The sequence below is a fragment of the Homo sapiens genome, chromosome 4 (genome assembly GCF_000001405.40).
Source record: "Homo sapiens chromosome 4, GRCh38.p14 Primary Assembly".
Taxonomy (NCBI): Eukaryota; Metazoa; Chordata; class Mammalia; order Primates; family Hominidae; genus Homo; species Homo sapiens.
The window spans coordinates 54,244,046-54,269,511 of NC_000004.12; the positions used below are offsets into that span (position 1 = coordinate 54,244,046).

Sequence of the window (25,466 nt, forward strand, 5' to 3'; positions counted from 1 at the left end):
TAAACAAAGCGGCTGGGAAGCTCGAACAGGGTGGAGCCCACCACAGCTCAAGGAGGCCTGCCTGCCTCTGTAGGCTCCATCTCTGGGGGTAGGGCACAGACAAACAAAAAGACAGCAGTAACCTCTGCAGACTTAAATGTCCCTGTCTGACAGCTTTGAAGAGAGCAGTGATTCTCCCAGCACACAGCTGGAGATCTGAGAACGGGCAGACTGCCTCCTCAAGTGGGTCCCTGACCCCTGACCCCTGAGCAGCCTAACTGGGAGGCACCCCCTAGTAGGGGCAGACTGACACCTCACACAGCCGGGTACTCCTCTGAGACAAAACTTCCAGAGGAATGATCAGACAGCAGCATTTGCGGTTCACGAAAATCTGCTGTTCTGCCGCCACTGCTGCTGGTACCCAGGCAAACAGGGTCTGGAGTGGACCTTTAGCAAACTCCAACAGACCTGCAGCTGAGGATCCTGTCTGTTAGAAGGAAAACTAACAAACAGAAAGGACATCCACACCAAAAACCCATCTGTACATCACCATCATCAAAGACCGAAAGTAGATAAAACCACAAAGATGGGGAAAAAACAGAGCAGAAAAACTGGAAACTCTGAAAAGCAGAGCGCCTCTCCTCCTCCAGAGGAACGCAGCTCCTCACCAGCAATGGAACAAAGCTGGACGGAGAATGACTTTGACGAGTTGAGAGAAGAAGGCTTCAGACGATCAAACTACTCCGAGCTACAGGAGGAAATTCAAACCAAAGGCAAAGAAGTTGAAAACTTTGAAAAAACTTTAGACGAATCTATAACTAGAATAACCAATACAGAGAAGTGCTTAAAGGAGCAGATGGAGCTGAAAGCCAAGGCTCAAGAACTACATGAAGAATGCAGAAGCCTTAGGAGCTGATGCGATCAACTGGAAGAAAGGGTATCAGTGATGGAAGATGAAATGAATGAAATGAAATGAGAAGGGAAGTTTAAAGAAAAAAGAATAAAAAGAAACGAACAAAGCCTCCAAGAAATATGGGACTATGTGAAAAGACCAAATCTACGTCTGATTGGTGTACCTGAAAGTGACGGGGAGAATGGAACCAAGTTGGAAAACACTCTGCAGGATATTATCCAGGAGAACCTCCCCAATCTAGCAAGGCAGGCCAACATTCAGATTCAGGAAATACAGAGAACGCCACAAAGATACTCCTCGAGAAGAGCAACTCCAAGACACATAATTGTCAGATTCACCAAAGTTGAAGGAAAAAATGTTAAGGGCAGCCAGAGAGTAAGGTCAGGTTACCCACAAAGGGAAGCCCATCAGACTAACAGTGGATCTCTCAGCAGAAACTCTACAAGCCAGAAGAGAGTGGGGGCCAATATTCAACATTCTTAAAGAAAAGAATTTTCAACCCAGAATTTCATATCCAGCCAAACTAAGCTTCATAAGTGAAGGAGAAATAAAATACTTTACAGACAAGCAAATGCTGAGAGATTCTGTCACCACCAGGCCTGCCCTAAAAGAGCTCCTGAAGGAAGCACTAAACATGGAAAGGAACAACCGGTACCAGCCACTGCAAAATCATGCCAAATTGTAAAGACCATTGAGGCTAGGAAGAAACTGCATCAACTAACGAGCAAAATAACCAGCTAACATCATAATGACAGGATCAAATTCACACATAACAATATTAACTTTAAATGTAAATGGACTAAATGCTTCAATCAAAAGACACAGACTGGCAAATTGGATAAAGAGTCAAGACCCATCAGTGTGCTGTATTCAGGAAACCCATCTCACGTGCAGAGACACACATAGGCTCAAAATAAAAGGATGGAGGAAGATCTACCAAGCAAATGGAAAACAAAAAAAGGCAGGGGTTGCAATCCTAGTCTCTGATAAAACAGACTTTAAACCAACAAAGATCAAAAGAGACAAAGAAGGCCATTACATAATGGTAAAGGGATCAATTCAACAGGAAGAGCTAACTATCCTAAATATATATGCACCCAACAATACAGGAGCACCCAGATTCATAAAGCAAGTCCTGAGTGACCTACAAAGAGACTTAGACTCCCACACAATAATAATTGGAGACTTTAACACCCCACTGTCAATATTAGACAGATCAACGAGACAAAAAGTTAACAAAGATAGCCAGGAATTGAACTCAGCTCTGCACCAAGCGGACCTAATAGACATCTACAGAACTCTCCACCCCAAATCAACAGAATATACATGTTTTTCAGCACCACACCACACCTATCCCAAAATTGACCACATAGTTGGAAGTAAAGCACTCCTCAGCAAATGTAAAAGAACAGAAATTATAACAAACTGTCTCTCAGACCACAGTGCAATCAAACCAGAACTCAGGATTAAGAAACTCACTGAAAACTGCTCAACTACATGGAAACTGAACAACCTGCTCCTGAATGACTACTGGGTACATAACGAAATGAAGGCAGAAATAAAGATGTTCTTTGAACCGACGAGAACAAAGACACAACATACCAGAATCTCTGGGACACATTCAAAGCAGTGTGTAGAGGGAAATTTATAGCACTAAATGCCCACAAGAGAAAGCAGGAAAGATCCAAAATTGTCACCCTAACATCACAATTAAAAGAACTAGAAAAGCAAGAGCAAACACATTCAAAAGCTAGCAGAAGGCAAGAAATAACTAAAATCAGAGCAGAACTGAAGGAAATAGAGACACAAAAAACCCTTCAAAAAATTAATGAATCCAGGAGCTGGTTTTTTGAAAGGATCAACAAAATTGATAGACTGCTAGCAAGACTAATAAAGAAGAAAAGAGAGAAGAATCAAATAGACGCAAAAAAAAAAATGATAAAGGGGATATCACCACCGATCCCACAGAAATGCAAACTACCATCAGAGAATACCACAAACACCTCTATGCAAATAAACTAGAAAATCTAGAAGAAGTGGATAAATTCCTCGACACATACACCCTCCCAAGACTAAACCAGGAAGAAGTTGATTCTCTGAATAGACCAATAACAGGCTCTGAAATTGTGGCAATAATCAGTAGCTTACCAACCAAAAAGAGTCCAGGACCAGATGGATTCACAGCCGAATTCTACCAGAGGTACAAGGAGGAACTGGTACCATTCCTTCTGAAACTATTCCAATCAATAGAAAAAGAGGGAATCCTCCCTAACTCATTTTATGAGGGCAGCATCATCCTGATACCAAAGCCAGGCAGAGACACAACCAAAAAAGAGAATTTTAGACCAATATCCTTGGTGAACATTGATGCAAAAATCCTCAATAAAATACTGGCAAACAGAATCCAGCAGCACATCAAAAAGCTTATCCACCATGATCAAGTTGGCTTCATGCCTGGGATGCAAGGCTGGTTCAATATACCCAAATCAATAAATGTAATCCAGCATGTAAACAGAACCAAAGACAAAAACCACATGATTATCTCAATAGATGCAGAAAAGGCCTTTGACAAAATTCAACAACCCTTCATGCTAAAAACTCTCAATAAATTAGGTATGTAAATGGGACGTATCTCAAAATAATAAGAGCTATCTATGACAAACCCACAGCCAATATCATACTGAATGGGCAAAAACTGGAAGCATTCCCTTTGAAAACTGGCACAAGACAGGGATGCGCTCTCTCACCACTCCTATTCAACATAGTGTTGGACGTTCTGGCCAGGGCAATTAGGCAGGAGAAGGAAATAAAGAGTATTCAGTTAGGAAAAGAGGAAGTCAAATTGTCCCTGTTTGCGGATGACATGATTGTATATCTAGAAAACCCCATTGTCTCAGCCCAAAATCTCCTGAAGCTGATAAGCAACTTCAGCAAAGTCTCAGGATACAAAATCAATGTACAAAAATCACAAGCATTCTTATACACCAATAACAGACAAACAGCCAAATCGTGAGTGAACTCCCATTCACAATTGCTTCAAAGAGAATAAAATACCTAGGAATCCAACTTACAAGGGACGTGAAGGACCTCTTCAAGAACTACAAACCACTGCTCAATGAAATAAAAGAGGATACAAACAAATGGAAGACCATTCCATGCTCATGTGTAGGAAGAATCAATATCATGAAAATGGCCATACTGCCTAAAGTAATTTATAGATTCAATGCCATCCCCATCAAGCTACCAATGACTTTCTTCACAGAATTGGAAAAAACTACTTTAAAGTTCATGTGGAACCAAAAAAGAGCCCGCATCGCCAAGTCAGTCCTAAGCCAAAAGAACAAAGCTGGAGGCATCACGCTACCTGACTTCAAACTATACTACAAAGCTACAGTAACCAAAACAGCATGGTACTGGTACCAAAACAGAGATATAGATCAATGGAACAGAACAGAACCCTCAGAAATAACGCCGCATATCTACAACTATCTGATCTTTGACAAACCTGAGAAAAACAAGCAATGGGGAAAGGATTCTTTATTTAATAAATGGTGCTGGGAAAACTGGCTAGCCATATGTAGAAAGCTGAAACTGGATCCCTTCCTTACACCTTATACAAAAATTAATTCAAGATGGATTAAAGACTTAAACGTTAGACCTAAAACCATAAAAACCCTAGAAGAAAACCTAGGCATTACCATTCAGGACATAGGGCATGGGCAAGGACTTCATGTCTAAAACACCAAAAGCAATGGCAACAAAAGCCAAAATTGACAAATGGGATCTAATTAAACTAAAGAGCTTCTGCACAGTGAAAGAAACTACCATCAGAGTGAATAGGCAACCTACAAAATGGGAGAAAATTTTTGCAACCTACTCATCTGACAAAGGGCTAATATCCAGACTCTACAATGAACTTTAACAAATTTACAGGAAAAAAACAAACAACCCCATCAAAAAGTGGGCAAAGGACATGAACAGACACTTCTCAAAAGAAGACATTTAAGCAGCCAAAAAAACACATGAAAAAATGCTCACCATCACTGGCCATCAGAGAAATGCAAATCAAAACCACAATGAGATAGCATCTCACACCAGTTAGAATGGCAATCATTAAAAAGTCAGGAAACAACAGGTGCTGGAGAGGATGTGGAGAAATAGGAACACTTTTACACTGTTGGTGTAAAAGTGTTGGTGGGACTGTAAACTAGTTCAACCCTTGTGGGACTGTAAACTATTTGGTTGGTGGGACTGTAAACTAGTTCAACCCTTGTGGAAGTCAGTGTGGTGATTCCTCAGGGATCTAGAACTAGAAATACCATTTGACCCAGCAATCCCATTACTGGGTATATACCCGAAGGATTATAAATCATGCTGCTATAAAGACACATGCACACGTATGTTTATTGCGGCACTATTCACAATAGCAAAGACTTGGAACCAACCCAAATATCCAACGATGATAGACTGGATTAAGAAAATGTGGCACATATACACCATGGAATAGTATGCAGCCATAAAAAATGATGAGTTCAGGTCCTTTGTAGGGACATGGATGAAATTGGAAATCATCATTCTCAGTAAACTATCGCAAGAAGAAAAAACCAAATGCCGCATATTCTCACTCATAGGTGGGAATTGAACAATGAGAACAACACGGACACAGGAAGGGGAACATCACACTCTGGGGACTGTTGTGGGGTGGGGGTAGTGGGGAGGGATACCTTTAGGAGATATACCTCGTGCTAAATGACGAGTTAATGGGTGCAGCACACCAGCATGGCACATGTATACATATGTAACTAACCTGCACATTGTGCGCATGTACCCTAAAACTTAAAGTATAATAATAATAAAATAAAAAAATTTTTAAAAAATAAAGTTAAAGGGATATTATTATTATTATTTTTGTAAGTTAAACATTAGGATTAAAAAGCACAACAGAGTTTTCTAGAGCACTGATCTACTCTGTAACAGAAAATTGTAAAGGGTTTAAAAGGTTTATGAGAATCTTACCTTATGGTCAAACTGGTTAAGATTGGGAAGATTTGTCTATAAAGTTTTATTAAGAATTGGGTTTGACATTAATACTACACTAATGCAAACGTGAAATGTGGCTTTCTCTCTTGAATAAGATTTTCATGTATTATTACAAGATAATGAAAGATTTTTATTTGCTTTTTAAATAAACTATAGGAAAAATAAGGGAGAGAAAAGTGACAGATCATTTGGAAACCCAAGTCTCCCCTATATCAATGAGTAAAAGTTTTTACCTTTTTGAAATCTTTGAGTTATCATTTTGGCTAAATAAATGCTTTATGGTGACCTGGGATTCTATTTTGTAATATCAACTGTTTAAACCTTTTGTATTTGACAAACGTTCCAAACTGAAATTCTAATGTAAGTCTTTTTCTGACCTGATTAGTCCTTCTAGATATTAGGTCCCCTAAAGTCCAAAAGTGACATATTTGGCTTATTAGATATATTAAAATCATACAGGAAGCACTTTCAAATATAAAATGCTATTTGGCTTTCTTTGGACTATACTTATATAAATGTGTTATTGGTATATGTTCCAAAATTATGCAAAACTCCTATAATTCTGATATGACTTAGTGTACATTATCAGTCATAATTATAGTTCTTATGTTACATTATTGTGTGCTACAGAGTTAACCAAATTTCTTTGTCAATTGCATCTTTAATCAGCTGTCCTAAGACTTTTGTCACCCACAGACAATTGTCTTGTTTTAATCCTTTTCAAAAGGTGGTTTATAATCAGCTATAGGACTCTGATGGGTACTCTAAAATGCAAGCCTCTGATAACTTTGAAAATTGTGCCATTGGCTGGGCATGATGGCTCACAACTGTAATCCCAGCACTTTGGGAGGCTGAGGCAGGCAGATCACGTGGGGTCAGGAGTTCAAGACTAGCTTGGCCAGCATGGTGAAATGCCATCTCTACTAAAAATACAAAAATCAGTCAGGCATGGTGGCATGCACCTGTAATCCCAGTTACTCGGGAGGCTGAGGCAGGAGAATCACTTGAACCTGGGAGGCAGAGGTTGCAGTGAGCTGAGATCGCACCATTGCATTCCAGCCTGGGCAACAAGAGGGAAACTCCGTCTCAAAAAAAAAAAAAAAAAAAAATTGAAAAAGAATATTGTGCCATTGAAACAGAAAAGAAAACACAAATAAACTTCCAGGATTCTCATAGAAACTTAATATATTCATAAGGAATGTGGCCCAATATCAGGCAAAACAAGAGTTAACAGCATGGACTAAACTAATAAAAGACCAAAACAATCTTTTAATGACTTTTTGCTTAAAACATTGCATATCCTTTCTGTTTTGCTTTTCAGAGTCAAGAAAACTTTTCCTTTGGAAAGTATTTACTGCTTTTAACAATTGAAAAAAGTATACTACTATGGACAAAATTTGGAGCATATGTCTTTCTTTTTACCTGATTTCTCCAGAATTTGAAAACTATTTGGGAGTATTCTTAACTAATAGCAATATAGTTATTTGCCTAAGTGCAGTAAGAATCTTTTCTTTTGTAATAGGACACAATTAAAGAAACTGCTTATTTTATGAAGGCTTTGACTAGAATGGTGTGCTTTCAGATACAAACAGACTGCTTTAAGGGATCAAAGTTGACTTATAGAGCCAATAAAAGCCACTATGGAAAACTGGCCTTATTCTTTGTCTATGCAGTCTCTGTATGGGGTTCCTGACCTGTGGTAAGTGAAGAATGTCACTTTCTGACAGGCCCAGGAGCCCCAAGTTATCTTGGGACATCAAGAAGAAAGGAATGCACCCAACTTATACAGGTATTTGCAGGCACAGATAAATCTGTGGCTGGCTCAAGGCTTTAAGAAGCCTAATGTGAGATTCTTTTTAAATTAAATTTCCATCGAAACCAATTTTAACAAGAGCCTATGTGGCAAATAATTATTTTTGCTGCACTTTATACAAATAATCAGGCCAAATTTCATAAGATTAAAACTTTATGGCAAACAAATTTGTCCCACTATGATTTGTCTTTGGTAAAAATGGAAGCTAGAGAGAGAATTTGTTTCAAAAACTATGATACACCAGTTATTAGATTCTAGTCTCGTCTGTTGTTTTTGAGTTTCTTCTGCAATTTAGGCAGACCCTGCTTATTCCTGAGAATCAACCAGTGATCTATGGCTGTTGCTCAGAAGAAATAAGAGGGATGGCTAACGTAAAGATCTGGATTAGTATTCTAATTCTAGGCATGTATTAGAATTGGCTAGTGACCCCATATCAGCTTGGTTTTAACAATTACCCAGTTCATGGAAAGCCTTCTTATTTAGTTTACTTGGGATAATTGTGCTGATTTTGTTTTACTGTTGTGGAATATATTGCTGTTGTCCTCTTTGTGTAGGAATGCAGGAAAAGCTTACTTAACATTTTCTTAAATTGAACACTTATTAATCTTCCAGATTTCACCTTTTGTCAGAACTCAGAGTTATGATTTGTCCTCACTGTACTGACAACAGGCTCTGGTAGGGTGCAGAGGTCCTGGTAAACACACCCTCTGCTGGAAAACAGGGAGAAGTTTCCATCAGTGTAAGCCTGCACTTGGGTTGTCTGGGCTGAAGTTAGGAGACTGAGTAGAACATTTGCTGCAGAAAAAAAAGAAGATGTGTAATTTTCACAGTTAGAATTAACTTAGGAGAGCTGAAATTAACTGAGCCTCGGAAATCTGAATCTTGAAGTCACCAGTGGCTTTTGGGACTGTGAGAGAGTCTCTTGTGGTCTTTAATCATGTGAGGGTGGGGTGAAATTCAATATTCAGTGGTTCTGCAATGGGATGCACTGTGCAATTGGTGATTGAGAAGCCAACTCTCTGGCTTTAGGAGAAGAATGTCTTGCTGTTAGTCCTTCTGGAAATAGAGCCTTGCATTGCCTACTGTCCGTTTACACTACCTTTGCACATTGCCTTTGGTTATAGAGTCATGTCCAATGGCTCTTTACTTCTGTTTGCAGGGCAGGAGATGGCACCCTGTTAAAGAGAAAGGATAGTAGCTGCAAAGTCATTTGTTTCTCTGTTTCTGTGACTGTATATATTGGCTCATCTTTGAATGGTCTTTATAGCCACACCAGGCTGGAGGTAACAGGGTCATGGGAGTGGACTGCTGGTGTGGGCTAAATCAGAGTTCAGATCCATGTCTCCAAGAGGTAGGAAGTGCAGGGCAAGTTATGTGGCTTCTGGGGCATCCCTCACTTTCTTAGTTAAAGAGAAGTTGAAGTAATCATTCTGAAATATTATGGGAGTCTGCAGAAAAAGTAATGAAAACCAAAGCACTTTCCATTAATCTCCATAATTTAGTCCTTACGATAATGTCACAGGGCAAGCAACCAATCAGACCTTACTAGTCGTGCTTCCTAGAAGAGACTGAGGTTCAGAGATTTGGACAGAGTGTCAGATATGGGATCAGTGGCTAGTCCAATGTGATTTCCATCCTTTCTTCTGAGAGAAAGCATAAGAAGGCTAAGAGGATGGGGGTAAAGCACAAGTCACCTGCCTGAGAGTCAACAGAGCAGGGGTCTCTTTCTCAGTTTGTTTCTCTAAGTTATGGCAAAAGCTTTTTGAGCTGTGATTATTGAGAATGGGGGCTGAAGTTCAACACATAGTTGGCATGAGAGAAGTAATTATGATTGAAGAAATCTAGATGAAATCCATTGTTCTTTTCTGTAAAGGGGTTGTTATCCCTGATTCTTTTTTTCTTTTTTCTTTTTTAGATGGAGCCTTGCTCTGTTGCCCAGGCTGGAGTGCAGTGGTGTGATCTTGGCTCACTGCAACCTCTGCCTCCTGGGTTCAAGTGATTCTCATGCCTCAGCCTTTCCAGTAGCTGGAACTACAGGAGTGTGCCACCATGCCCGGCTAATGTTTTTATTTTTAGTAGAGGTGGAGTTTCACCATGTTGGCCAGGCTGGTCTTGAACTCCTGACCTCAAGTGATTCACCCACCTTGGCCTCCCAAAGTGCTGGAATTACAGGAGTGAGCCATTGTGCCTGGCCTGTTCTCACTGATTCTTATAGTGCCATGTTTCTCAGAATTTGTGGCTTCAATTACTTATATTTGTGCACCTGACTTTTAGGTGAGCTCCAGAATAGCATTACTAATTAAGAATGAGCATTTAGAGTAGAAAAAGTGACAGGAACAGCAAGACTCACTTCCAGAAAGCCTCACTACAGGTCTAATAGGTGAGGAAAGTCCCCATCTTTCCCATTTTTCTTCATTACCTCCCTGTGGGGCAAGCACTGCCATTATGCATGAGTAAACTGTCTGAGTTATAGATAAGTAATGACATGAAACTTCACAAACAGGCCTAGATTTCTACCCAGGGAACCGCTGTTATCAGAGAAGGGAGTTTGGAATCTTAAGCAACAAACACATGTTGATTCTCAGTATTTGCCTCCTGATGGCTTGCTCAGAGAGCCTGTTTTCATTGCCCACTTTATATGTCAGTAAATAATCTTCCCTGGCAGTGGGTCCACCATGTCTGGATGCACACAGGGAAATCTGGTGGGGTCTGGCCAGTGAAAAACACTCCTCAGGTTTTGCAGGAAAAGCAGTGAACCCTTCTTTTAAGCTCGAGAATGCTTTAAAGATGCATCATTGGCAAGCCTTGCCAAAGAAATACGGGATCTAAATGTGATAAAAGCCACGACGACATCAAGCTGGCTCTGGAGGTCTCCTTTGAAGTTTGCTGAGTGGATTGTCAGTGGGAGGCTGATATTTACATGTAGAAGCACACAAGTGTTACTGCTAATTGTGGTAAATCAGGCTGGCCAGCCTGGCTCTGGATCCCACTGTGCCTAACACCAGCCCTGCATCCCAGGCACATGCCGGGCTCCTCAGAAGCGATCAGCCAGCCAGCATTGTGTGAATTGCATTTGGGTTCACAGCACTGTAATTGTCCTTCTCCTGCTATGAGGAGCAGAGAGGGAAAAGGGAAGGGAGGGTTGTGTAATTTGCCCTAGGAAATTGTGGGGGAGGGACAGGCACTGGGCCGGGTGGGGGGCGGTGCGACATGGCTAAAACACTGACCTTCCCTTGAGAGAGACCATATGGTGAAGTGGAGAGGGCACAGCTTTTGCATCACACAGGCCTTGTATTAGAATTTTGGCTCTGACACCAGCTGTGTGACCTTGGGTCATTTGCGAAACCTCTCTGAGCCTCAACTGCCCCTTCTTAAAATCAGCTCTAAGTAACCACAGGGTTATTCTTCAGAAACACAGCATGCACATGCAAACTTTGGCTTAGTAAATAATGATTTCTTTTTGTTCTATCTACTCCACCTCCCTTTCCCATTAGAAGCTTGCTACCTTTCACTCTGTGTTTTCTTCCTCTCCCATTTTCCTGGTGGCATTCAATAAAGCAGAATTCTGATTTCTGCAATGTAGGCCACCTTAGAGCAAAATACATGATCAGGCACCACCAAATTAGGCTATTATCTACTGGATCCTGTTTAACCAACCCAAACCCAACTCAGGCTAAATACAGGAATACAAGAAAACGCTGAATTTCTCCCCTTTCTTTTTTTTTTTTTTTTTGAGACAGAGTCTTGCTCTGTCACCCAGGCTGGAGTGCAGTGGCGCGATCTTGGCTCACTGCAAGCTCCACCTCCTGGGTTCACGCCATTCTCCTGCCTCAGCCTCCTGAGTAGCGGGGACTACAGGTGCCTGCCACCACGCCCGGCTAATTTTTTGTATTTTTAGTAGAGACAGGGTTTCACCGTGTTAGCCAGGATGGTCTCCATCTCCTGATCTCATGATCTGCCCGCCTCAGCCTCCCAAAGTGCTGGGATTACAGGCGTGAGCCACTGCGCCCTTCCCTCCTTTTTTTTTTAAAACAACAACAACAACAACAACAAACAGTTTATTCAGTAATTATGTATACGTATTTTAGCTTCCAAAGTCAGTGATGGAACAAATTGAGTCCTATTAGGCCCACTCCATTGCATGAGTTAGCATCAGAGGAGGTCAAACTAGAGTGACTTCATCTTGAATATGGGCTAGGTAAGAAGAGGATGAGGCCTGCTGGGCTGCATTCCCAGGAGGTTAGGCATTTGTAGTCACAGGATGAGATAGGAGTTGGGTAGGAATGGTTTCATAAAGACCACAGGATGCAAGCTGGGTGTGGTGCCTTATGCCTGTAATCCCAGTACTTTGGGAGGCCAACGCAGGAGGATTGCTTAATCCTAGGAGTTCAAGACCAGCTTGGGCAACATAGTGAGACCTCATCTCTACAGATAATTTTTATTTTATTTTATTTTATTTTTTTGTGATGGAGTCTTGCTCTGCCGCCCAGGCTGGCGTGCAGTGGCATGACCTTGGCTCACTGCAACTTCTACCTCAGGGGTTCAAGCGATTCTCCTGTCTCAGCCTCCTGAGTAGCTGGAATTAGAGGCGCACACCACCACGCCTGGCTAATTTTTTTGTGTTTTTAGTAGAGATGGGGTTTCACCATGTTGGCCAGGCTGGTCTCGAACTCCTGACCTCAGGTGATCCACCTGCCTTGGCCTCCCAAAGTGCTGCGATTACAGGCATGAACCACCGTGCCCAGCCTCTACAAATAATTTTTTTTTTTTTTGAAATGGAATCTCAGTCTGTCGCCCACACTGGAGTGCAATGGTGCGATCTCAGCTCACTGCAGCCTCTGCCTCCCTGGTTCAAGCGATTTGCCTTACAAATGATTTTTAAAAAATGAGCTGGGTGTGGTGGTTTCACAAGATACGGGTGATAAAGACCCCAGGATGCGGGCCGGGTGTGGTGGTTTATGCCTGTAATCCCAGCACTTTGGGAGGCCAAGGCAGGAGGATTGCTTAAGCCTAGGAGTTCAAGACTAGCCTGGACAACATAGTGAGACCTCATCTCTACAAATAATTTTTTAAAAATGAGCTGAGTGTGGTGGTGCAGGCCTGTAGTCCCAGCTCTTGGGCTAGGCATGGGGGTCAGCTCAGGTGGGAGGATTGCTTGAGCCCAGGAGTTCAAGGATACAGTGAACTATGATTGTGCCAGTACACTCCAGCCTGGGCAACAGTGCAAGACCCTGTTTCATAAACAAATTAAAAAACCCCAAAAACCTAGGATGCAATGAAGAAGGAAGCCGAAACCCACCAAAACCAAGACGGTGATGAAAGTGACCTCTGGTCATCCTCACTACCCATTATATGCTAATTATAATGCATTAGCATGCTAAAAGATACCACCAGCACCATGACAGTTTACAAATGTTGTATTAATGACAGGAAGTTACCCTATATGGTGGAAAAAGGAAGGAACCTTCAGTTCTGGGAATTTCCTCCCTGTTTCTGGGAAAATCATGAATAATGCACCCTTAGTTTAGCATATAATCAAGAAATAACCATAAGTATACTCAGTTAAGCAGCGTGGCTGTTCTGCCTATGGAGTAGCCACCCTTTTTTATTCCTTTATTTTCTTAATAAATTTGCTTGAATTCCTTCCTGGGTAAAGCCAAGAACCCATGTGGCCTCCCATGGTGATCTCCAATTTTGGGATTCACCATGTGACATTAGGAGCAACTTAGGGATCTGGTGCATCCCAGGCCAAGACTAACATGGTGATTTTTGGGGGGTTATGTTAAAACTGGGGGCTCTGCCCAGGCCCCTCAGTGTGGCTTCTTGAGTCAATACCTGGGTACTTACTGGCCCTAGCACCTACAAGTTCATTCACAGTTCCTTCTCACTGACTTCACCAGTGACCACTATCAGTGACTTCAAGGGAGAAATGAGGGGGGAGATAAAATAAAGTGAATGGGGAAGAGATAAAGAAGAGAGGTCTTTTCACAGTTTGCCAGAATAGTCCCTTCAGTGGTTTTACCCCAGGGCAACAGGAGCCCCCTTTTAGTTTCTTTCTCTTTTAATTTTCTTTTCCCTTCCCACTTTTTGCCCACTTTTTGCCTTATTTGTGTCTGACTCAATTTCCGTCTCTTTCTCTACTTCTTCATTCCCAGATTTGGCTGTAGAAAATTAGAAAGTTCTTGAACTTGGTTTGCACGGGTGCTTTTACTTTAACATGAAAATGAATGATCAGCCTCCTTCTAATTTCATCCTAGAGTCTACTGCATCCCTCCTACCCCCTGCACAGGAATTTAGTCACACTTATCTCTCCCACTTTCTCTCCCTTCTTCACTTTCTCTATTGCTCCTCCTTTCATGCTTGTACCTGCTTTTCCATGCCCTGTTTAGCCTGGCTTGGGATCCAGCAGGTTCTCCAAGGGTTCCTGCAAGAACCCCGGCTGGGTGCCCAGGTCTGAGCCTGGTATGTGCCTCAGTATCACAAAGGCCTCCTGTAAATGACACACATTGTTGGAAGTTTCAGAAATTCTAGGTCAAAATGGCACTGAAATATTAAGGTATTTACCCCAACCCAAGCAACTTTTCTAAAAGTTGTAGAGAGTGTGACCTCTTTATTAATTGAAACGTGAAAATCAGCTCTAGTTTGGAAGCTGAGAAAAAATATATATATATGTATTTATTTCTTTGTTGTTTGAATTCTTAATATAAATGGTTTAAAGGACCATTGAAAACTGCATGCAATCACAGAAGGTTTTGGCTTCAGGCAGCTCCCGCCATGATCTTGGGGCCCCATTGATTCTTTCATCTTTCAGGCGTCTTACTGTTTGAACCTTGAATTTTAACCTGGGACATGTTTGACTAAAATGATGCTGTTAATATTTTCTGTTGTGCAAAACACAAAGAGAACTAGGCTCCAGGGTTGTTTCTATTTGCTAATGCTGTTTCTGTTGACTTTTGACTTTTCTAGTTTCCCAGAGCTATGGGGACTTCCCATCCGGCGTTCCTGGTCTTAGGCTGTCTTCTCACAGGTACGGAGCCCAGTCCTCTCTGAGTTCCTTGTTTGGGTGTCTTGTTTTTTTAAGCTTTGTGCTGCATGGGTTTATTACCAGTACTCTGCATACACAGTCCAAAAGAGTGAAAAGAAATAGAAAACTATAGGACGTTATCCAGAATGACCACAAACCTTCAGTTCCCTTTGCTGTATTGCACTTACTCCATTTCAAAAGGAATGCTCTCCAGTGGCAGTTTTAGTACATATATAATGTTGGCATTGAAATGTTGTTAGTAATAATGTCTAAATTTACTTACTACTCTCTTCCTTTTCCTAGGACAAGGCTTCTATTAGAGCTGGATTAGATAAATTCAGGAATGGTCAGCTGTGGGAGGTGGCACATCTGTTGTCCCAGCCCCTTGAGCAGCTGAGGTGGGATGATCCCTTAAGGCCAGGAGTTCAAGGTTGCAGTGCACTGTGATTATGCCTGTGACTAGCCACCACACTCCAGCAACATAGCAAGACCTCATTTAAAAAAAATGTTCAAAGGAAATAAATAATAGAAAATTCTTGCCCAAGAAATCATACTTGTCTTAAATCATAACTCTCTTGAGGAAAGATGCTTACATTGCTTCTAAATCTCAGAGTCACCTTTATCTTCTCTAGGAATCAAATTGATAGATGAATGTTTGGCTCTTGGAAAATCTTAAAAACTTTCCCACCAAAAGGATCATTGGGGTAATTTGTTGAAGTGTGTATTGGACTGTCTTAGTTTTCCTCCAGATATTTATGCACTGCAGATGTTCGCCATGAAACCAGTGCTCTTCTATTCTGAGGAGTTAGCTCAGCCCGTTAGTGTCTTTGTCTTACCCATTTGGATATGGTAGAATTGAGCAAGACCAGAGATTCAACAGTTCTAAGCTCCACTAAGTATACCCCATCTACAGAGTAATAGGTGATCCAGATGTACTTACAAATCCTATCTTAACAAGCTTTAGGAATTATAGTGGTCATATATTGAAGTTGGGTGGGAGTCTCACACCAGGTTCCAAGGGAGATTACAAATCACTAATTAATAATTAAGTCATAATATCTCTTCTATCAGTCTCGGGTTTCTTGTTTTCTAAGTTCTGTGCTCCATGGGTTTATTATCTGTACTCTGCTTACACAGTCCAAAAGAGTGAAAAGAAATAGAAAACTACAGGACGTTATCCAGAATGACCACAAACCTTCAGTTCCTTTGCTGCATTGCACTTACTCTATTGCAAAAGGAGTAAGTGCAATTTCAGTCTAAATAAGCGAGACTGAAATTTGAGCTTCGAAGATGAACTTAGAGTTTTCACTCTTGGGTTTTACTTACCAATTGTGAATTAAAATCCGTATCATCTGGCACCACTGCACTCCAGCCTGGGTGACAGAGCAAGACTCCATCTCATAAAAATAAAGAAATAAATAAACAAATAAATCCACATCATCCTGCTTTGGCCCTGGAAGTCATGAGGGAGAGACGGCATGCCCGAGGGCTATAAGAAATGGAAGATGTGGAATTCTTGAGCACAGATGTGCTTTGTGTTTTCTTCAGTCTGTGTCCTTGCCTCCATTCTTATTCCATGTGGGTTTTTTTTTTTTTTTTTTTTTTTTTTTTTGAGACAGGGTCTCTCGCTCTATTGCCCAGGTTGGAGTGCAGAGGCTGACTGCAACCTCAATCCCCTGGGCTCCAGTGATCCTCCCACCTCAGCCTCCAGAGTAGCTAGGACTACAGGTGTACACCAGCACACCTGGCTAATTTTTTTATTTTTTTATTTTTTGTGGAGACCAGGTCTCACTACGTTGCCCAGGCTGGTCTCGAACTCCTGAGCTCAAGCGATCCTCCCACTTCCACCTCACAAAGTGCTGGGATTATAGACATGAGCCTCTGCGCCCCAGCCTCATCTCATTTTAACTAAAGGAAACCTTTGCAGTGATTGTGAACCATAAAGAACCCATATGTGCTTGAGCCCGTGCCATCTTGGGATATTTTATGGTTACACATAAGAGTCTGAAATATGGAATTGGAATCAGACATCCTCTGTCTATTTGAGTGTTTGGAGGGGTGAATCTAGTGGGGCTTGGTGGAGCTATTTGGAACATTTGCTGCTCTCAGCAGATGCAGTGGCTGTTATAATGGGGGAGCTTTCATGGGCATCCAGGCTAACGGATTTTTGTGTAGAAATGGTCATTGTTCATCTAAGCTGCTACTGTTGCTTCTCTCAGTTGTCGGGATGAGACTGTCCTTTCTGACTGCATCCTATTCAGAGCGTGCTTCCTTTTGCAGGGCTGAGCCTAATCCTCTGCCAGCTTTCATTACCCTCTATCCTTCCAAATGAAAATGAAAAGGTTGTGCAGCTGAATTCATCCTTTTCTCTGAGATGCTTTGGGGAGAGTGAAGTGAGCTGGCAGTACCCCATGTCTGAAGAAGAGAGCTCCGATGTGGAAATCAGAAATGAAGAAAACAACAGCGGCCTTTTTGTGACGGTCTTGGAAGTGAGCAGTGCCTCGGCGGCCCACACAGGGTTGTACACTTGCTATTACAACCACACTCAGACAGAAGAGAATGAGCTTGAAGGCAGGCACATTTACATCTATGTGCCAGGTGAGTTGGCTGGGTCTCCAGGACCAAGCTTCTTCTCTTCCTGTCTCTCCTGTTAAATGTACTAAGGTTTTAAACATATATATAAATAATTAATATTTATTGCGGGAAGTTTGAAAAATGTAAGCGAACACACACAAAAATCATTTGTAATATTATCAAGAAATATTCATTGTTAGCATTTCAGAGCTGTATTAAGTTTGGAAAGTCATCTTTGTTATGACATGTCCTGTATTGATACTGTATAAACAATCTGAAATATACTCATCTCTATTCAGTTCATTCAAGTTGCACACATACTCACAGTGTGTCCAGCACTGGGCTAAGTGTTGAGTACACAAAAATTAATAGGTAAGCCCTGTCTTGGAGTTGCTGATAGTTCATTATAATATCTTCCAAATAAACACTCGATTTTTCAGATTCACTATCAACATACATTTATTCTTGGAGAGTTGGAAGGAATTTTCTTTTTCCTTTTAAAAAAGTTACATATATATATATATATATATATATATATATATATTTTTTTTTTTTTTGGTAACAGGGTCTCACTCTGTTGCCCAGGCTGGAATGCAGTGGCATGATCATCATAGCTTACTGCAATCTCAACTCCCTTGGTTCAAGCGATTCTCCCACTTCAGCCTCCCCAGTAGCTGGGATTACAGGCATGCACCACCACGCCCAGCTAATTTTTATATTAGTTGAGACGGGGGTTTCACCATATTGACCAGGCTGGTCTTGAACTCCTGACCTTAAGTGATCTGCCTGCTTCGGCCTCCCAAAATGCTGGGATTACAGGCGTGAGCCACTGTGCCCTAATTTTTATTTTTATTTTTGTAGAGATAGGGTTTCACTGTGTTGCCCAGGCTGGTCTCAAACTCCTGGGCTCAAGTGATCCACAGCCACCTCAGCCTCCCAAAGTTCTGGGATTACAGGCACGAGCCACTGGGCCTGGCCTACTCCTGCATTTTAATTAAAAGGACAAAAGGGTCGAGCACAAGTGATGGCAATTTCAGTATGCAGTTGGGTAAATTAAAAAGGACTATGGCTAGAATCCTTGGTTTTAGAACAAAACCTAAACTGTTTATGATTCTTGCCATCCTTGCTGTTTTGGCATAGGTGTGTCTTCCTACCTTTCTGCCTTTTCTTTTTCAGTTTTTAATGGGCTCCTCTTCCTACCCTCTATAACTACGAGTGTCCCCAGGGATCTAGACCCTCTTTACTTTTTCATGATACTCTTATTCATATGAACCTTCCTTCTTAACAATTAAAAAAAACCAAAAACTTTGTTTTGAAAAGGGAAGGTATTTAGAATGTCACTCCAACTTCATTCACACTTAGATTCCTTCAGGAAAATCCTCTAGGTGTGGAGGGATTTTCCCCTGCTGTGAAGAGAATGGTAGGAACGTGAATGTGTTAAAGGCACACGAGTCCCTGAAGTTTTAATCCGTGTAAGATTGTCCAAAAATTCTTCTTGTTCCAGCACAGATGCCATCCAAGTAGCCCCTGCATCGCTGTCTGACTGAGATCTTTTTATTCGCAATCATGCAGACGTAGGGGCCCTTTCTGCAGCTGATGTTTGAGACTGTTAGAACTTCTTACCACCGTAGCTTAAGTAGCTGTTTTTCTTTTGGAAAGGAAATTCTCAGGCTCCTTCTCCTTCTTTAAATTTTATGTATTTCTCAAAGGATTACTTTTTAATAAACAGATTTCTATGCTATTTTTGAATCATACTGACTATAGGTGGTAAGAGTTTTTAAAAGCATTTCATAATAAAACTCGAAATATTTTTTCCTGTTTTAAACAGAGTTGGACTGTATTATTTTATTGTTAATTTTTGTTTTTAGTTGTTTAAATTTTGATTTAGATTCCTGGTTAGTATTTATTTATTTATTTGTAGAGACAGGGTCTCTCTATGTTGCCCAGGCTGGTCTCAAACTCCTGAACACAAGCAACCCTCCCACCTTGGCTTCCCAAAGTGCTGGGATTACAGGCATGAGCCACAACTCCTGTCCAGTATTGATATTTATCATCAGTATTATCCATCAGGAGACAGGCAATTTGGTATTATTCATACTTAAAAATCACTTTGTAGCTGTCATGATAACTAATGCCAGTGGGGCAATTCTTCTGGATATATGTGTAAAGGTGAACTTCATACCTAATATCAATAATGCCAGTGGGATAGTTTTTCTGGATTTATGTGTAAAGGTGAAATTAATGTCTAATAGAGTCTTCATTCTTTTTTAAACCACAGACCCAGATGTAGCCTTTGTACCTCTAGGAATGACGGATTATTTAGTCATCGTGGAGGATGATGATTCTGCCATTATACCTTGTCGCACAACTGATCCCGAGACTCCTGTAACCTTACACAACAGTGAGGGGGTGGTACCTGCCTCCTACGACAGCAGACAGGGCTTTAATGGGACCTTCACTGTAGGGCCCTATATCTGTGAGGCCACCGTCAAAGGAAAGAAGTTCCAGACCATCCCATTTAATGTTTATGCTTTAAAAGGTACTTGTATCATCTCCTTCCTTCTTTAAATAAGAGTAACAGGCAAAATCATAAGGTGCGTGTAGGATTTTTTTTTTTTTTTAAATCATCATCACTGGTGATCCTAAATTCTGATTTGGGGATTTAGGACCCCAGCTAATACAATGTCTGTGGCTATAATAATAAGCTTAAAATTACTAAAGGCCAAAGCTTGATTACCCATGCAAGATTTCATGTTTCATCAGTTGACTTCAAAATACTGTAAGGAATTCTTTTCTTACATAAGCCTCTTACTTTCATTCACATTCCTGACTATGGCGGCCCTAAAAACAAACATACACCCAGGGGGTTAGATGCCTAGATTAATTTTAGTAACTTAAGAAAAGTGATTTGAAGAAAGTAGTTTAGACTTCAACCCTTTGATGTCCACAGTTAGTACGCTTGGGGAAGTATAATACATGCTGAGGTCAACAGATATTTCCTGAACACTATATTACATGGAGGAATGGGTAGCAGCAAGAGTACACTGTTTTAAAATCAGAGCACAGCTAATTTTGTGCCAGGCACTGTGCTAGGTTCTGGGAAAGTACTGAGAATAACTGAGGAGCAGAGTGGAAGAGAAGAAGAGAAGAAACAATTGGATAGAAACAAAGTGTCTAGAGCAGTGTGGATCAGCAAATGTTGGTTGATTAAATGAATAAATTTATTAGTCAAGGAGATTGTGGACGAGTATAACCATAACTAACCCACTGCTGAGGAATGCGGTGTTCTGTTTGATTGGAATTTATTTTTATTGTTATTATTTTGTAATTCTGTATTATAACTATATGCCTAATTGTTGTACACCATCTCACAATCAAGCCTTGTGAGATTTTCCAAATTTTATCTTGATCAAACTGGTTTGCAAATTATTTTTCAGGGTTTTCTTAAAAAAAAAAAAAAAAACCCAAACTTTATAAGATCCTGGCTATCCTGTGGATTTTTAGGCCCTTGTATTTGTTCTTTTTTATAGCAACATCAGAGCTGGATCTAGAAATGGAAGCTCTTAAAACCGTGTATAAGTCAGGGGAAACGATTGTGGTCACCTGTGCTGTTTTTAACAATGAGGTGGTTGACCTTCAATGGACTTACCCTGGAGAAGTGGTAGGTACCCTCAAAACGTGCAATGGCTTGGAGCAGAGCAACAGGGCTCAGAAGACCTGCATTTGAGCTCGGTCTGTCACTGATGGGCACATCACTGAGTTTCTCTAGACCTTAGCTTCCCACCTCTGGGATGAACACATTTGATTAAATGGCCTTTAGGACTCCTTGATCAATGGGAGAGTTTGAAATGATAGTTCCTGGACCAGGCCCTTCAGAATACATAAAGAGTGTGCCGTAAGCCTTCTTTTTCAGAAGTCAGACAGAAATAGGAAGGTTCTCTGGCTACAAGATATCAACCAAAAAATTAGAAGAGCAAAAAAACCACTGGATTTTACTATTGCGGAGACAGTGATTGATTCTCATCGTCTTGGCTTCTGTGCCCTGAGGTTTGATTCATCTGATAGTGTTGATTGCCCGCACCCCTTCCTCTTCTGCCTTGTTGGCACCCAGGACAATGTGTCTTCCTGTTCCACCTCCTATGTGCCTGACCTTTGCATGGCTCACCTTCAGTGAACCGTTATGATGTAATCATTCAGCAAAGGTTTAATGAAGTTTGCTCAATCCCAAGCACTGTACCAGAAGCTGGTTCAGTATTGCAGGAAGAAGGGAGGAGGGGAGATGGAAGTGGGGAAGGGGAGCCACCATGCTGCCTCTTGGTCACTGGAGATTTACAGAGTCTCAGTCATTCTAATGCATTGTCACTAAGTGTGTAAGACAGCCATGTGTAAGAGGCTATGAATGCCCAAATGCAGGAATGACTAATATTCTTATGGAGAACAAAAACGAGATATATATATTTCTTGCCTCCACTCCTGACTTGTAAATTTCTGCTCCCTGTTCTTTTAGGCATTTGACAGCTTTCTGTCCTTCTATCCATTGATCTCCCTCCTTTTATCCGTTTCTCTCTCCCATGCATTTGCCGCTGCTTTTCATTTGTCCTGGGGCATCTGATAGGAAGTTGGGCATTTTCACTATTGCCTCACAAACTTCACACAGTGAAGGGACATTTACAGTCCAACAAATGTACATCTTCCCTGAAATATGAAGTGATTTGGTTCTTCTGTTCATACTTGATTGACTTTAATCCTTAACACATAAACACTGCTTTCTATTTATAGGAGACAGCAATTTTTTTTTCCAAACCGAAGTACATGCTATTTGGCTTACAAATATATAATCAAAGTATTGTTTCATACAGTATGTTTTTTCCGATTATAAAAGTAATGCAGGTTTATTGCAGAAACTTTGTAAAATATGGAGAGACAAAGGAAAGGCTACTTCCCAGAGCATCACTGTTTATATTTTAGGGAGATAAAGCTTTTATTTTTCATTTGTATTTCTTTCTTTTTTTTTTCTTTTTTCTTTTTTTTTTTTGTTGTGGAGATGAGGATCTCACTACATTGCCCAGGCTGGTCTCAAACTCCTGGGCTTAAGTGATCCTCCCACCTTGGCCTTTCAAAGTGTTGGGATTGATTACACATGTGAGCCTCTGAGCTTGACTGAGATAAAGCTCTTAAGTATTTCTTATCCATAGATAAACATTGAATAATAGGTGTTATTCTTTAAATGGTAATTTATTACATTCTTTATCCTTCAGCAGTATAGCACAAACACCTTATATGTGTCATTAACTGTCCTTTTAAAAAATGGGCTGGGTGTGGTGGCTCATGCCTGTAATCCCAGTACTTTGGGAGGCTGAGGCAGGAGAGTCACTTGAGGCCAGGAGTTTGAGATCAGCCTGGGCAATGTATCAAGACTCCGTCTCTACAAAAATTTTTAAAAATTAGCCAGGTGTGGTGGCATGAGCCTGTAGCCCCAGCTACTCAGGAGACTGAGGTGGGAGGATCACTTGAACCCAGGAGGTTGGGGCTGCAGTGAGCCATGATTGTGCCACTGCACTCCAGCCTGGGCAGCAGAGTGAGATTCTGTCTCTAAAAAAATTAAAAACAAAATAAAAAATCTCATGATTTTCTAAGCAGCTAGCTTTTATTCTTTAGGTTTTATCTTTTAGAGCAGTTTTAGGTTTACAGCAAAATTGAGAGGTACAGAGATTTCCCATGTGTTCCCTACACCCACACATGTGTAGCCTCCCACCTTGTCAACATCCCTACCATCCATTTGTTATAACTGCTGAACCTCCATTGACACATCCATATCATCCAGAGTCCATAGTTTATCTTAGAGTTCACTCCTAGGAGCGAGCTTTTTAAAAGTCGGTTTTCTTCCCCTTTTGCTGTAGAAAGGCAAAGGCATCACAATGCTGGAAGAAATCAAAGTCCCATCCATCAAATTGGTGTACACTTTGACGGTCCCCGAGGCCACGGTGAAAGACAGTGGAGATTACGAATGTGCTGCCCGCCAGGCTACCAGGGAGGTCAAAGAAATGAAGAAAGTCACTATTTCTGTCCATGGTACATTCCGCTTTCTAAAATGTCAGTTGTCCATGCTGCTCGGGATCCATATGTGGTAATCATTATTTAATGGAAACTCTTCCCTGTACAGAGAAAGGTTTCATTGAAATCAAACCCACCTTCAGCCAGTTGGAAGCTGTCAACCTGCATGAAGTCAAACATTTTGTTGTAGAGGTGCGGGCCTACCCACCTCCCAGGATATCCTGGCTGAAAAACAATCTGACTCTGATTGAAAATCTCACTGAGATCACCACTGATGTGGAAAAGATTCAGGAAATAAGGTAAAGAAACTCTCTGCCCAAGTATGCCTTTTTTTAGTGTGCATCAGAGGCGGACTGAGGTTTGTGTGTGTCTTACAACCCAGACCCAAAGTCAGTCTAGAAAATGTAACAATCTGAGTTAAGAGATGCTTGAAATCACATCCCTTTAATGATAACATTGCAAAGTGGTATTAGTATGCTGGTAAGTATTTAATGAGAAGATGAGAAGAAAGAACTAAAAGCTCTGGCCCCTGGGGAAAGACAGGTCACTGGATTCAGCTAGGGTGGAAGAAAGGAAGTAAAATTGGACTCACCAGGATTGAATAGATTGAATATATTCCCTGATGTTCATCATCCATATCGCAAGTAGACAGATATGGTGATTACACCCATGAGGCAGTTATCACATCACCTTACGTGAAAGTTAACGTCATAGGCTTAATCTGGAACCCATTTGCCCTAATTGAGGACTCCACAGGAAAGAAGAGTAGAGCCTGGCTAATCAGGAGAGAGATGTGCAGTGAGTTGCTTGGATCCCTACCTTTTAATCAGAATGGTAGATTGCTCTCATCTCTTAATTGGTGGTGGAGTTTTGAATGAGTCACCCCTCAGCCACAGTTTCCTCATCTACAATGTAGGATAAACAATACCTTATGTCCTTCAAGGCAAGGAATTGGATCAGATGATATCATGAGGCCTCTTAAGGTTTTAAGCTGTGATTAGAACCCAAGAGTCAGAAGATACATCTCACAGCACCCAGCTAACCAGCCCTATACTTTTGTCAGAAATCATCTCAGAAAGACAAAGTCAGTCCTGTATTTCAAGCCTTCAGGAGGAAGAACAGAGCCTTTCTCATCAGTTCCATTCACCTCAGGATTTGCTTTCTTCTTTGTGAACTAAATTCCACGTGTAATTGAGAAGCAATGTCTGAGAAAATGGAATTTTACAGCCTCTATAGAATAGTAAAGGAAAAATGAAGTGGGATACTGAATCTGGAAGGCTTTCTGTTGACACAAAATGAAGGTGTACAACAAGGAGGGCAGCTTTCCACGAGGAACTTCCATGAGGCTGTGCAGCCAGAGAGGAATAGGGTAACAACCCTGGTACAGCTAACACCTCCAACACGTGTGTGAGCACTGTCTGCAAGCCATAATCCATAGCAGTGGCAGGACAGGCTCGCCAACTGAGTGGTTCTGGAAAGCTGCCTTTTCCTTTTAGTGATTCAAGGATGCTTCAACGTGGATTTTTTAGTTCCTGTTATGAGCCAGTGAATACAAAGATGAACATGGTAGATGGGGGATCTGGCTTCCTGGAGCTTAAAACTCCAGGATGGGGGATCTGGCTTTCCTGGAGCAAGAAAACCAGTGGTTTTCTTGGCCGAAGAAGTGAAGAGAACAAACAGCAGAGGATAATTTGGTAATCAGCATCCTAGTGTGCCCCAGGGTACTCTCTTAAGGAAATCCAGTCCTGGAGCACACCCAGTATGGTCCAGCCTGCTGTCTTCGTAGGTCTGAGTGCCCCAGTATTTGCAAAGTGTTTTGGAGCCTATGAAATGCTTTCACACATACAATCTCCTTTAATTAACTCTCACAATGACTCTGTGCTATGTGTACAATTATCACGTTTTACACACAAGGAAACTGAGGCATGGAGCATTGTAATAATACCCGAGATCTTCTCACTCCATGACCAATGCTTTTCTTCTCCATTCCAGTTGCTTTTTCAACTGTGATGATTTATAAAGGACAATCAAATGGGCACATACTATATTTATGCACATACATACACACA

The 25,466-nt window shown here is 41.2% G+C and overlaps 1 protein-coding gene across 10 annotated transcripts in view, besides 1 other annotated feature; it reads left to right on the forward strand.

Annotated features, from left to right (window-relative positions):
• The window catches only part of PDGFRA (platelet derived growth factor receptor alpha), a 68,953-nt gene that overhangs the window by 14,753 nt on the left and 28,734 nt on the right, over positions 1–25,466 (forward strand). For all 10 annotated transcript variants that reach the window (NM_001347828.2, NM_006206.6, XM_006714041.4 and 7 more), the window contains 6 exons: positions 14,712–14,772; positions 17,050–17,367; positions 19,622–19,882; positions 20,874–21,004; positions 23,244–23,415; positions 23,507–23,696. In NM_001347828.2, coding sequence (NP_001334757.1) covers positions 14,712–14,772; positions 17,050–17,367; positions 19,622–19,882; positions 20,874–21,004; positions 23,244–23,415; positions 23,507–23,696 — 1,133 coding nt within the window. The remainder of the gene's footprint in view (positions 1–14,711; positions 14,773–17,049; positions 17,368–19,621; positions 19,883–20,873; positions 21,005–23,243; positions 23,416–23,506; positions 23,697–25,466) is intronic.
• Positions 12,396–12,622: a silencer, noted in NCBI's record as "fragment chr4:55122608-55122834 (GRCh37/hg19 assembly coordinates)". NCBI's record gives its function as "represses an EF-1alpha promoter that drives an FKBP-Casp9 reporter gene in an ReSE screen in K562 erythroleukemia cells {active_cell/tissue: K562}" and the evidence as "EXISTENCE:reporter gene assay evidence [ECO:0000049][PMID:32094911]".